We start from the raw sequence: 12,806 nt of genomic DNA, 5'->3' as shown, positions 1-12,806 counted from the left end.
TTAAGGTTGGTAACCTTAATTACATCTGCAAAACCCTCTTTGCTATGTCATGTAACGTATTCATAGGTTCCAGGATTAGGGCATGGACTTTTGCGGGAGAGGCAGTATTGCCTACTGTATGAGGCAGGGCAGATTAGGCAGCACCTGCCATAGTCCTGATGAATGGAAATAAGGGCTAGAACCTGGGGTGTAATGAGAATGGAATGGCTTGGGCAGGTGCTGAGTCATTTCAAAGACAACTAGAGGATGATGATTGGTTACATGGGTGCGTTGGTGAGGGGCAGGAGAGTTAGGGGAAAGGAGGAGTAAACCTAGGATCCGGTGAGGAAACAAGAGAAAAAACCTCACTTGTCACTCTAGGAGGAGGAGCTGGTTATTTATTTATTTATTTATTTTTATTATTTTTTGAGATGGAGTCTCGCTCTGTCGCCCAGGCTGGAGTGCAGTGGCACGATCTCGGCTCACTGCAACCTCCACCTCCTGGGTTCAAACAATTCTCCTGTCTCAAACTCCCAAGTAGCTGGGATTACAGGTGCCCGCCACCATGTCCAGCTAATTATTTTATATTTTTAGTGGAGATGAGGTTTCACTACATTGGCCAGGCTGGTTTCGAACTCCTGACCTCAAGTGATCTGCCTGCCTCGGCCTCCCAAAGTGTTAGCATTATAGGCGTGAGCCACTGCGCCCAGCCAAGGAGCTGGTTATTGAGGGTAGATGATGCATTTGTTGCAGACAGGATGACTTAGGGATAACAGGAGAGTTCCTGCCAACCTGGAACTATCTTAGGAGCAGTTGAGGACACCAGAAATGTCACACCTGGTGATACAAATGTGTGAGACATTCACATGGCAGCAATGTTTTGGGGCTTGGGGAGAGAGGGTAGAAAGAAAATTGGGCAAGAGCCATAGGGGATGACCAAAGAAAAGGTAGAAAGAGGAAGAAGAGTAAAGAGAGAGAGAGCAGGCCCAGGAAGGAGAGGAGCCAGGCGAGGTCCCATCTGTGAGGCCAGGGAGAGCTGAAGAGCAGAGGCCCGGCAGGAGGGTGTACAAAGGCCATGAGCTGGTGATGGGATGGTTGGTAGTGATGGGAATGTGCATTTCTGAGTGCAGGGGCCAAGGAAGGAGGGAGAGAAGGACTAAGAACACATAAAAGGCTCAACAGGGCCCACAGGAACTGTGTGTCAGCATGTAGGGAGAGAAGGGGCGGGCGTGGGGCATTGGAAAGCAGGGTAGAGGAAGAGACTGGCACAGCTGGAAGAAGAGAGAGGCGATACAATTTCAGGGACGAGGCTCTCACAGGGGAATGGGCTGATGAGGCTGAGAATGGAACTGGAAGCTTCAGGGGGAAGAGACCAAGGGTGGATCCATGATCATTGCTGGGTAGTGCTGAGCCCATGGAGGACCTGCTGGTCTGGCTACGAGGTGGAGGTTTGTACCCTGGCCCAATGCTACTTCCTGGCTGGAAGTCTGCCCCCAGGGCTTGGGTACTTGGGCAGGACTGGCTGGGTCTGGACCTCTGGGCATCTTGGAAACAGAACCCTCTGGAGGTGGAGGCCGGCCTGTGGGGAAGGGGCAGGGATAGAGCTGGGCAGGGACAGAGCCAGGCCGGGCAGCAGATGTAGTCACTGTGCGGTCATTCCTATCCTGGGACTATCTTCTCTTCCCTGATTATCTTGGGGGGCTGGGCCTCACAGCACAGAGCTTCCTGGAGTGAGGGGATTTTTTCGAGGGGACTTGGGAAGAGGAAGCATAAGGGTGTCCAGCCTGCCAGAGGGCTCTATGGGGAGCAGGAAAGCATCAGCTCCATGGCTTTTGGCTCCATCGGCACATGGTCATCCCTGTGCCCTTCCATGTGCTCCTCCATATGCCCAAGGCCTCAGTGAATTCCAGCCTTCCCGCCACTTCTGACATTTGCGGGCCATTGTCTGGGGCCTAATTGCCTGCCAGAGCACCCTGCTTGGCACCCCTGCCAGCCATTTCTCCTCTGGCACAGCTCAGAGCTGGCTCCTACTGTTTGCAGCAGCTCCACAGGTAGGTCCAGGATGAACCTGGGGCAGTGGGCAGGCCCTGCCAGTCTTTGTGGGCACATGGTGGGGACCCTCCAGTGTGCACATTTGTATGTGTCCACGCCCAACACTTGTCCACAGCTCAGCCCAGCCCTTGGCCTCCTCAGGGGACTTCAGGCTTGGGGGTCACGGAGATGGCTGGGGCCTTTGGGTGGGTGGAGGGGGCGCAGAGGGGCCAGTGCAGTGATAGAGGCTCAGGGAGGCCGGTCCCATTGCTCAGCAGAAGGGCCGAGGGAGGATGCTGCAGGTGGAGGAAGCCCAGGACTGCACCAGCCCCTCCCTGGCTCCCCCTGCCCCGTGTCCCCATGGCTACCACCGCTGCCAGCCCTTGGGCTCCCTCAAAGGCCTCCTACCCTGTGAGGGAAGAGGAAATCTCGCCAGAGATCCATGTAAAAATAGATGTATCTCTGGATAAGCAGCGAACTTGAAAAACAGCTGAGCCGGAGTCTGCTCCGCTGACAGAAGATCTATGTACCAAATTCCTCTTCAAAATCTATTTCTCCAGAGATTTATTCTTGCAGGGCTCTGCCAAGCTGGGGGAAGTTTGCAGCATCGGGCAGCTGGGAAGCCCTGCGGGACTGCCCCCACCCTTTCCGTGGTGATGATCTCCCAGCGTGAGCCGTGGTCAAATTAGGCAGGGCTGAGGGGTGCTGGCCGGAGCAGAAGAGTCAGTGGTGAAATGCAAGAGGGATGTGAATGACAAAAAGGACATTCTCATGCATTAGCCTGGCTGGGTGGGAAGCGGAGTGATGCAGCAGGACACCCATCCTGGCGGCCGGGAGAATAAGTGATGGCTATATTTATGTTTCCATCTAAATGCATGGATCAAAGCAGACACTTTAATCTATTCAACAACAGCCCGAGGATTAAAAAGTTGCAGGCAAATCACACTCTTAAATTGGTAATATATTTTTGCTTGTCACTTGACAAATCATTTTAGAGAGTGACTCCACGCCAGGTGGGGGACCTGGAAGCTTGAACCTGGCTCCCTAACCTGGGAGGTGCTCGAGCCCCATAGGGTGCAGCATGAATCTCCTCATTTGCTCTAGCTCCTGTGAGCCAGTTGGGAGGGGAAGTGGGAGCTAATGTGGAGTACCAGTCCTGAGGTCACGCAGACATGCGTCCTAGCCTCCAAAACAGCCTGGAAGGTGATACTATAATAATCCCCATTTCACAGACCAGGAGACTGAGACATGTGGCTTGCCTGGGTCACACAATAATAAATGCTACAGTGGGGGCCAGGCGTGCCTATAATAATAAATGGCACAGTGGGGGCCAGGTGCCTATAATCCCAGCACTTTGGGAGGCCGAGGTAGGCAGATCATTTGAGGTCAGGAGTTCGAGACTAGCCCGACCAACATGGTGAAACCCCATCTCTTCTAAAATACAAAAATTAGCCCAGCTTGGTGGTGGGCACCTGTAATCTCAGCTACTCAGGAAGCTGAGGCAGGCAAATCACTCGAATCCAAGAGATGGAGGTGGCAGTGAGCTGAGATTGTTCCACTGGATGCCAGCCTGGGTGACAGAGTGAGACGCTGTCTCAATAAATAAATAAATAATAATAAAATAAATAGAAATAAATGGCACAGTGGAGTGCAAAGCCAGATGTTTTGACTCCAAGCACAGTGGCCTTGTCCTTCAATGGAACTGCTGGGTGAGAGAACAGCTCTCCTTGGGGGTCACAAGGCACAGCGGGGAGAAGCAGCATCGGCTCTGCTGCTTGCTGTGTAACTCCTACTAAGTTCTTCCACTTCTCAGCCTCCTCATCTGTAAAATGGGGCTAACGGTAGTGTTCGTCTCTGGAGGTGGTTGTCAGGAGGCCGTGCACTGAGCACACTGCCTGACACATGGTCAAAACCCAGGTTTGTGCTGAGCTCTGAAGGACATGAGCAGACAGAGAAAGGAACTCGCAAGCATGGCTTCTGAGGAACGGGTGAAGGAAGGCCCTTGGTTGGGAAGAGACAGAGCTGCCTCCGAACACAGGCTGGATGGTGCAGAAAAAGGCAGAGTGGATTTGTTGTGTGGCTCCAATAGGGACGACTGGGTCCTTCAGGAGACTGATGGATTTCAGTGAAAGAGAAGCAAGGAGTTTCTAATTGCCAGCATAGGTGATTACAGGCTGCAAAGAGGACATAGCAGCTTGACTCGGGTGACATTTAGACAGCAGAAGTCCCTTCCCTTTCAAGCAGGAGAACCTAAAATTCCATGAGCAGTAGGGTCAGCTCCCCACGATTCTTGGGGAACAAGAAGAGTTGGGTAGTTCAATGGAACTGAAGAATCTACTTTTAAAAAAAGGTGTTCTTTTGCCGGGCGCGATGGCTCATGCCTGTAATCCCAGCACTTTGGGAGGCCGAGGGGGGCAGATCACTAGGTCAGGAGATGGGGACCATCCTGGCTAACACAGTGAAACGCCGTCTCTACTAAAAATACAAAAAATTAGCCGGGCGTGGTGGCAGGCGCCTGCAGTCCCAGCTACTCGGGAGGCTGAGGCAGGAGAATGGCGTGAATCCGGGAGGCGTAGCCTGCAGTGAGCCGAGATCGCGCCACTGCACTCCAGCCTGGGCGACAGAGCGAGACTCCGTCTCAAAAAAAAAAAAAAAAAAGGAAAAAAAAGTGTTCTTTGTGTGTATGTCATGATTTAATCCTACAGGTTTATGCTTGGCTCAGATCCCCACTAACCTTAGGGTATGTGAGATGGGCGTGGTGTTTGGGAGGAGGCTGGGTGGCACAGGAGTGGCAAGGCCACGGGGTGGAAGGAGGCAAAGCCAGCCCTGGGCAAAAGGAAGAATTCCACCCTTGCCCAAGACGAGTCAGCTGGTCTGTGCAGTCAGAGCAGTGCCAGCCCGGGGAGGAATGGTGGACCCGGAGTTAGAGACTTGGGCTTCCCTCCGCCCCCATCACTTAATATGTGTGTGTCCATCCTCAGGCCACCTCGTCTCTCTGAGCCCCAGTCTCTCCACGTGGAACGCAGGGAGCTGATACCTGCTCCCTGCTCTCCTTTCAGAGGGGTTTTAAGAATCCAGGAGAAGCTGGCCTTATTCCCTTGGACTTGAGAGGGGTGCCTTGGGCATCCCATGGCCTGGTCCCAGCGCCCCTTTCCCCTCGCGCGGGTTCCTGCCGGCTGCAGTCGCAGCGTCCCGGACCAGCCTGCACACCGACACCTGGCGCGAGCGCTGTCACGGCAAGGCCGCCGCGGGTGGGGTGCGGGAGGGTGCGGCGCGGCCAGATTGCACCATCTGCCTGTGCGGAAGTGGAGCGCAGGTGTTGTGTTCGGGGCGCAGGTAATTGCTGACGGCTGAGCCAGCTCTCCTGGCTTACGGTCTCCAGCGGGCGCGGGAGGTGGCAGCCCGAGTGGCTCCCTGCCTGGACAGCGCTCTGTGCCTTTCTCACGCCTTCAGCCTCTAGTGAGACTCACCCCTGCTAAGCAAGGGCGGTCAGGGCGGTATCAGATTCATTTTGCCAGCGAGGAAATCGAGAAGCCGAGAGGTTAAATCCCCGGCTCAAGGCCCTGGAGCCAGTCAATAGTGCGCCGGAACCAGCCCTCCGGGTCAGCGGACTCTTAATTCCATTTTCCTCGCGTGACCCAGCAACGCAGGGCAGTTCAGCAGACATTTATGGAGAACCTTCTACGGGTCAGGGCCTGAGCTAGGTGTAGGGGTTTGGACGGGGGCTCTGGCTTTGTTCCTGAGAGGGTGCAATCTTAAATCTCCCGTGTGGACCTGAGGCTCCCAGCTGTACCCCACATCACCATGCCCACCACCATGGCAGAGAAGCAAGAAGTTTCTAATCACCAGCGTTGGGAAAAGAGGACACAGCAGCCTGACCCAGGAGTGACATTTAGACAGAGAAAGTCCCTTCCCTTTCTTTTTTTCTTTTCTTTTCTTTTCTTTCTTCTTTTTTTTTTTGAGACGGAGTTTCGCTTTTGTTGCCCAGGCTGGAGTGCAGTGGCGCAATCTCGGCTCACTGCAACCTCCGCCTCCCGGGTTCAAGCGATTCCCCTGCCTCAGCCTCCCAAGTAGCTGGGATTTCGGGTGCCTGCCACCATGCCTGACTAATTTTTTGTATTATTAGTAGAGATGGGGTTTCACTATGTTGGCCAGGCTGGTCTGGAACTCCTGACCTTAGGTGAACTACCTGCCTCGGCCTCCCAAAGTGCTGGGATTATAGTCATGAGCCACTGCGCCTGGCCGTCCCTTCCCTTTCAAGCAGGAAAATCTAAAATTCCATGAACAGTAGGGTCAGATACCCACAAGTCATGGTAGGGACAAGAAGAGTTGGGTAGTTCTATGGGATCAAAGAATCTAGTTTAAAAAAAAAGGTGTTCTCTGTGTGTATGTCATGATTTAATCCTACTGGTTTATGCTCGGGTTAAATCCCCACTAACCTTAGGGTATGTGAGGTGTTTCTCTGGAGCACAAGACTGGCTGTTTCAAACACTTGGTCATTTGCTGGGGCCAGATGCTTTGGCCTCTGGTGCAAGGCCTTTCCGAATCCCGCCTCAGTCTACCTTCACAGCTTTATTTCCCCCTGCTCCTGCCCCAGCCCCTCAAGTCAGGCTACCTAGGCCCACCAACTTCTGTTCTGCAGCTGTGCCTGGGACCTCAGTGCCCTTTTCCAGCCCAGAACTTGGCTTGCCTCAATCTACTTATGCTTCTAGGCCTGGCTCCAGTGGGACTTCTTCCGTGAAGCTTTCTTTGATTATCCAGCCCTTCCTGATTCTTCCCGAGCAACGAATGACTCCCTTTCCTGTGCTTCACTGCCTTTGGCAGGTCCTTTGTGACAACCTGAGGCCTCGTGGTATGGTTTCAAAGCTGCTCCTGGAACCCTTCCTCACTAGCTTGTGAGCTCTCGAAGGCCTGGGTCTGGGTCTTACTCATCTATGACCTGCTCCCTCCCCCAGCATCATTCCCTCACCCAGGAGCTGCTCCAGGATTGAAAGGAGATAGTGTACGTGAAATTGTTTTGTAAAATACAGCACAATGCAATATTGCTACTGCTAAAACTGAAAAGAGTTTATTGAATCAAAACCCTAGGAAATAAAGGAAGCTCATCTTAACAACCCCCTACTTCTACATTATTTTCATTAACCATGTAAAATTACAATAATAACAATAGCTAACATGTATTGACCTTTTGTGCCCAATAAATATGGTCATTATTATAATAAGCATACAGACATGTGTACATGCTACATACACCTTTCAATTTCTGCACATTAAGAAGTGATCGGCTGGGCACAGTGGCTCATGCCTGTAATCCCAGCACTTTGGGAGGCGGAGGTGGGCAGATCACCTGAGGTCAGGAGTTCGAGACCAGCCTGGCTAGTGTGGTGAAACCCCTTCTCTACTAAAAATGCAAAAATGAGCTGGGCATGGTGGTGGGTGCCTGTAATCCCAGCTACTCGGGAGGCTGAGGCAGGAGAATCACTTGAGCTGGAGAGATGGAGGTTGCAATGAGCCGAGATTGCGCCACTGCACTCCAGCCTGGGTGACAAGAGCGAGACTCCGTCTCAAAAAAAAAAAAAAGTGATTATTAAGACAATATTGAAAATAATGCCACGAATCTTCAAATGTGCTTCAAGAGATTCTCAACCAAATGTCCTCCACAAGTGTCTCTGTGACCTCCTGTTCTCAAGGGCCTATGTGGATGGAGTCTATGGCTGTGAGGTGTCCCGGCCAGGTCAGGAGCTGACCCCCGGCCTAGCAAGATACTCCGTGCTTCTTACAACATTTCCTGCCTTCCTAGAGCAGTACCCAGAAGGCATCTTGTCCTTGTCTTGTGGGGTGGTGGGTGGCGCACCTCGTGGGGCATGCTCATGGTGGGCACCACACATGGGCGTCTTAAAGAGGAGTGTGTGTCTCTGTAAGGCTATCATAAGCGTTTTTATTTCAAGTCTGAGTGACACATTTTTGTCCTTTTGGCATTTATGGAGGATAGAAAAAACTGCTCTGAGTAAATAAACAGAGAAGAAGAAAGGCCTCCCTCCATGATGGGCCTGGTTTACGAGGCAACAAGCCTGGGGGGTCTTTGTTAGGGTTTAGTGATTTGGTTCCAGCACTGAATGGAAGCACAATCTTGTTTTTGAGTCGTTTCAGAAAGCTTGGGCTCCTCAGCTTCTGAGTTGTAACATTTGGAGGTTGTGATCTGCATTTTGGGTATGTGTCTGGGGGTGTCCCTGTGAGTACACAGGTGGGCATAGGTGTGTCAGGGAGATATGGGTCTGTGCATGCATGCGGTGAATGGAGTACATGCCCCACCTGAGCAGTGTCTGTACAGTAGGGGGGTGCGTATAGATAAGGTGATTGGGGTGAATGTGGATCTTTCTGGGTGTCAATCTTATATACTATGTGTGAATAAGCATTTATATGCAGGAGTCTTTTTTTTTTTTTTTTTTTTTTGAGACAGAGTCTGGCTCTGTTGCCCAGGCTGGAGTGCCATGGCGCGATCTCGGCTCACTGCAACCTCCACCTCTCAGGTTCAAGCAATTCTACTGCCTCAGCCTCTCGAGTAGCTGGGAGTACAGGCTCAAGCCATCACGCCCAGATAATTTTTGTAATTTTAGTAGAGACGGGGTTTCACTATGTTGGCCAGGCTGGTCTGGAACTCCTGACCTCAAGTGATGCCCCCACCTCTGCCTCCCAAATTGCTGGGATTACAGGCATGAGCCACCGCACCCAGCCCCAGGGGTCTGTATTTTTGTCATCGAATGTTGTTAGTGCCTTGGAAGCTCCCTGTGCCACCCCAACCCCCAACTATGACCCTTCCTTCATTGCCCCTGAGTTAACCACTCTCCTAACTTTTGTGTGAATCATTCCCCTCCTTTGTGTTATGGCTGTGCCACTTTCATGTGTCTCCTTGGTGAAAATGGGTCCACAGATGTGAAGCTGGGATGTATTTGGTGTGAATGCGGGTCTGAGTTGTGTTCACAGTGGAGCCTGGATGTGCTCTGCTCAGCGAGTGCCTCTGTTTGGGTGGATGGGTGGCAGAGGGTTGGGGAAGAGCGGTTGGGCTCTTCAGACAGGTCCCCGTGAACTTTGCATACCCAGCTCCTGTGGCTCCTTCTGGCTCGGTTGCCACCTCTGGTCCCTAGTGGTTCTGCCTTGCTGGTCTGCAGAGAGATCAACACCCTTCAAACCAGCTGCCTTGTTGGCTGCGGCGCACTCCCGCGGTTACCATGGAAACCAAAGTAGGTCTGCTTCTGCCTGCCATCGGGTCCCTGGGCTAGGGCAGCTGTGGGCCAAAGCCACCGTGGTGAAAGCTGGCTGTGGGGGAAGGGAAGAGGGGCCTGGGGGACCCTCTGAGCCTGCTTCTCCTCACACGCTCCTGGGGGCTCTTTTCTGCCTCCAAACACAAGGGCAGGTCCCCGTTGTCAGACAACTGGGATCAAAACAAACCGTTTGGAAAGGGCCTGAGCAGTTGACTTTTCCACACACATACAAAATCTCTTCCTGAAAAAAAATCCAAGACATATGCTAATTCCACATCACTGTGCATGTCATTTGTATATCATTAATTCAGTGCCTAAAATAAAGTGGCTTTTAGGAGAGAGCGCGTGAGATCTGATGGGAGGACTCTGTACATGTGTTTGTGGCCTGGTTTTATAACAGGCATCTGCTCAGAGTTCACTGCACTGGGAAGACTTAAACGTAACAGTGTTAAGCACTGCAGCGATCACAGATCCTGTGTGGTTTTGAAAAACAGAATAGCAAGCACAAACCTAGCTGTGTAAGCAAAAGGTGATACATTGTTAGGGAGACACATAAAAGTGGCACAGCCATAAAGCAAAGCAAGGGAATGATTCACACAAAAGTTAGCAGAGTGGTTAACTCCAGGGCAATGCAGGAGGGGCACAGCGGGGGAGCAAGGGCACACCGGGAGCTTCCCAGGCACCAGTAACACTGCATGTCTTAACCAGGTGGTGGAGACACAGATAGGTGACTGATTGTTATCCTTTTTGTTTGTTTGTTTTTTTTTTTTTTTGAGATGGAGTCTCGTTCTGTGGCCTAGGCTGGAGTGCAATGACATGATCTCGGCTCACTGCAACCTCCACCTCCTGGGTTTAAGGCATTCTCCTGGCTCAGCCTCCCAAGTAGCTGGGATTACAGGCGCCTGCCACCATGCCTGGCTAATTTTTGTATTTTTAGTAGAGTTGGAGTCTCACCATGTTGGCCAGGCTAGTCTTGAACTCCTGACCTCAGGTGATCCGCCTGCCTCAGCCTCCCAGAGTGCTGGGATTACAGGCATGAGCCACCGCACCTGACCCTGATTGTTGTCCTTTTAACTGTACTTATATATTTATATCTTCTTCTGTATGTGTGATACATATGGCAATTAAAAAATCACTGATCCTGAGCTTGTGGCCTCTGGCTCGATGCAGGTAGTAAGAGGAGTTATGGGGTCAGGGAAAGAAGACAGGGTGGGATCACAATTGTTATGAGTTTTGGAGCTGCCTCTGGCACTGACTAGCTATGGGACCTTGGGGAAGCCACTCAGCTTCTTCCAGCTGCAGTTTCCTCATCTGTAACATAATGAGTATGTTGGAGTTATTTATTCAATTAAAAACTAATTTTGAGCTTTCTTTGTGGCAGGCACTGGGCTAGGAAAAAGACATTTACAAATGTCACAGCACACACTAGAAAATGATGTGTGGGTCTGGAGGGGCCAGAGGCTCTGGGCTGGGAGAGAGACTGCCCACAGGGACAGTGGAGGAGGCCAGCTTTGAAATGGGTCTTAAAAGATGGGCCGCATTTCAACGGGCTGAGACAGGGCAGGAGGAAATGACAGAAGAGAAGGCACAATGTTGTCAAAAAGTAAGCTAATTGGGAACAGCAAAAATCTCATTATGGCTGGAGGACTTGAAGAACAGGTCTGGCTTAATCACTGAAGAGGCTCCTTTCAACTCTAACAGGAGAAACTTCCCCCAGCCTGGGCTAGGGAGGAGGACAACTGGCTCTGCTGGGGGCCGGGTTGGGGAGAAGAAGAGGGGAGGTGTCAGGGTGTCATTGCACCCCCTTGTCCTGGGTGCAGGAGACAACTTGCTCCCCAGGGCTCTGATGCTCAAGACTCTGGGCCCCTCCAGACAAGCTGGGCTGTTCCCACCCTCCTGGCCTCTACGCCGGCCTGGCTGTAGAAATGGGACCCTTCCTTCAGACAAAGACCCTGTGGGCCTGGGTGCATGAGGACCCTGCAAGCCCACAGCAGATCCAGACAAGCCCAAAGCCAGTCAGCTGCCAGAATAGGTGTGTAGGGAAGCAACATTCTCTTGCAATTTCCTTGAAGTTAAGACAACCCTGCCAGGGCGCCTTGGTGGCTGCTATGCTATTACTTGACATCAGGCCTGGCCCCACCCTGCTCTACCCCAGCACCCGCGCTGACCTGACCCTGTCACATTGAGCATGTCGTGATAGGAGAAGGAGCCCTTGACCTGGGAAGGGGCCCTTGACATGGGACCAGAAAAGCGGGTCCATGTCCCAGCTCCATCTCTTAGGAGGTGGGATGAGTCTCTAACCTTCTCTGACAGGTCTCAGGTGTCCTTGTTTGCAAAGTGAGAGGGTAGACCAGTAATCACTTAGGAACTTTCAGAAAGTAGAATCATTCGCCCCTTTCAGGTGGAATGATGTGTTCATCTCTGACCCATGCCTGCTGGACACTTCCGTTAGGACACCATGCTGCTTTGCTTGGAGGAGATGGTGTTTCTCACTGTTGAAGTGTGTGAAGTGGTTTATGTTGCAAGAGTGTAGTGTTAGGGCCCCACAACACCTTCTTCAAGGGGAACTCTTGAGTGATGGCTTGTCAGAGAGCTCTCTAGGAAGCAAGGTAACTTGTGTTTGATTGTTCTTAGAGCAAAAGACCTGTTGGGCAGGTCAGTTCTGCAAGCAAGCTGAGAACTGCAGGCCACCTTAGCCCATGTCCAGGAAAACCAAAGGAGAGAGGGTTTCCCTAGACTGATGCACACACCGCAGCATTAGAGATGGAAGGACTGCTGTCAGCACCACAGACCCCAGGCAAAGGCGACGTCTACCACAAGGACCATGACTACTCCAAGACAAGGATCTGATGGCCACCATTTACACATCCACTGAACACATAGTTGGTGCTCAGGATTTATTGAATGAATGTCTTTGGGGCAAGTGCAAATTCAATGTCATGGAAATTCTTGAATGTGATGCTTCGTGAAGACCTTAAAAGCTGTCCTGGTGGGAGTCAGAGGTCCACCATCACTCTTAGAGGTAGATGGCATGGGTTTTGGAAACAGTTAATGGTCTGAGTCTGGTATATACCGGTTGTGTAACCTTGAGCCTCTCTCATCCTAGTTTCTTTGTCTCTAAAATTGGTGCAATCTTCTTTATTTATTTATTTATTTGGAGACGGAGTTTCACTCTTGTTGCCCAGGCTGGAGTACAATGGTGCCATCTCAGCTCACTGCAACCTCTGCCTCCCAGATACAAGCGATTCTCCTGTCTCAGCCTCCCAAGTAGCTTGGATTACAGGCATGCGCCACCATACCTGGCTAATTTTTTTTTGTGTGTTTAGTAAAGACAGGGTTTCGCCATGTTAGTCAGGCTGGTTGCAAACTCCTGACCTCAGGTGATCCACCCGCCTCGGCCTCCCAAAGTGCTGGGATGACAGGCGTGCACCACCACACCCAGCCTATTTTTTATTTTTTATTTTTTTTGAGGTGGAATTTCACTCTTGTTGCCCAGCCTGGAGTGCAATGGTGCAATCTTGGCTCACTGCAGCC

At 51.7% G+C, this 12,806-nt stretch overlaps 1 annotated feature.

The window, feature by feature from the left end:
- Nucleotides 2,283-3,169: an enhancer, noted in NCBI's record as "OCT4-NANOG-H3K4me1 hESC enhancer chr11:116580386-116581272 (GRCh37/hg19 assembly coordinates)". NCBI's record gives its function as "activates a minimal SCP1, AML or CMV promoter by ChIP-STARR-seq in naive and primed H9 embryonic stem cells {active_cell/tissue: H9 hESC(naive and primed)}" and the evidence as "EXISTENCE:reporter gene assay evidence [ECO:0000049][PMID:30033119]".

Source organism: Homo sapiens, chromosome 11, assembly GCF_000001405.40.
Source record: "Homo sapiens chromosome 11, GRCh38.p14 Primary Assembly".
In the NCBI taxonomy this organism is placed as follows: Eukaryota; Metazoa; Chordata; class Mammalia; order Primates; family Hominidae; genus Homo; species Homo sapiens.
This window is presented reverse-complemented; position numbering and strand designations above follow the sequence as displayed.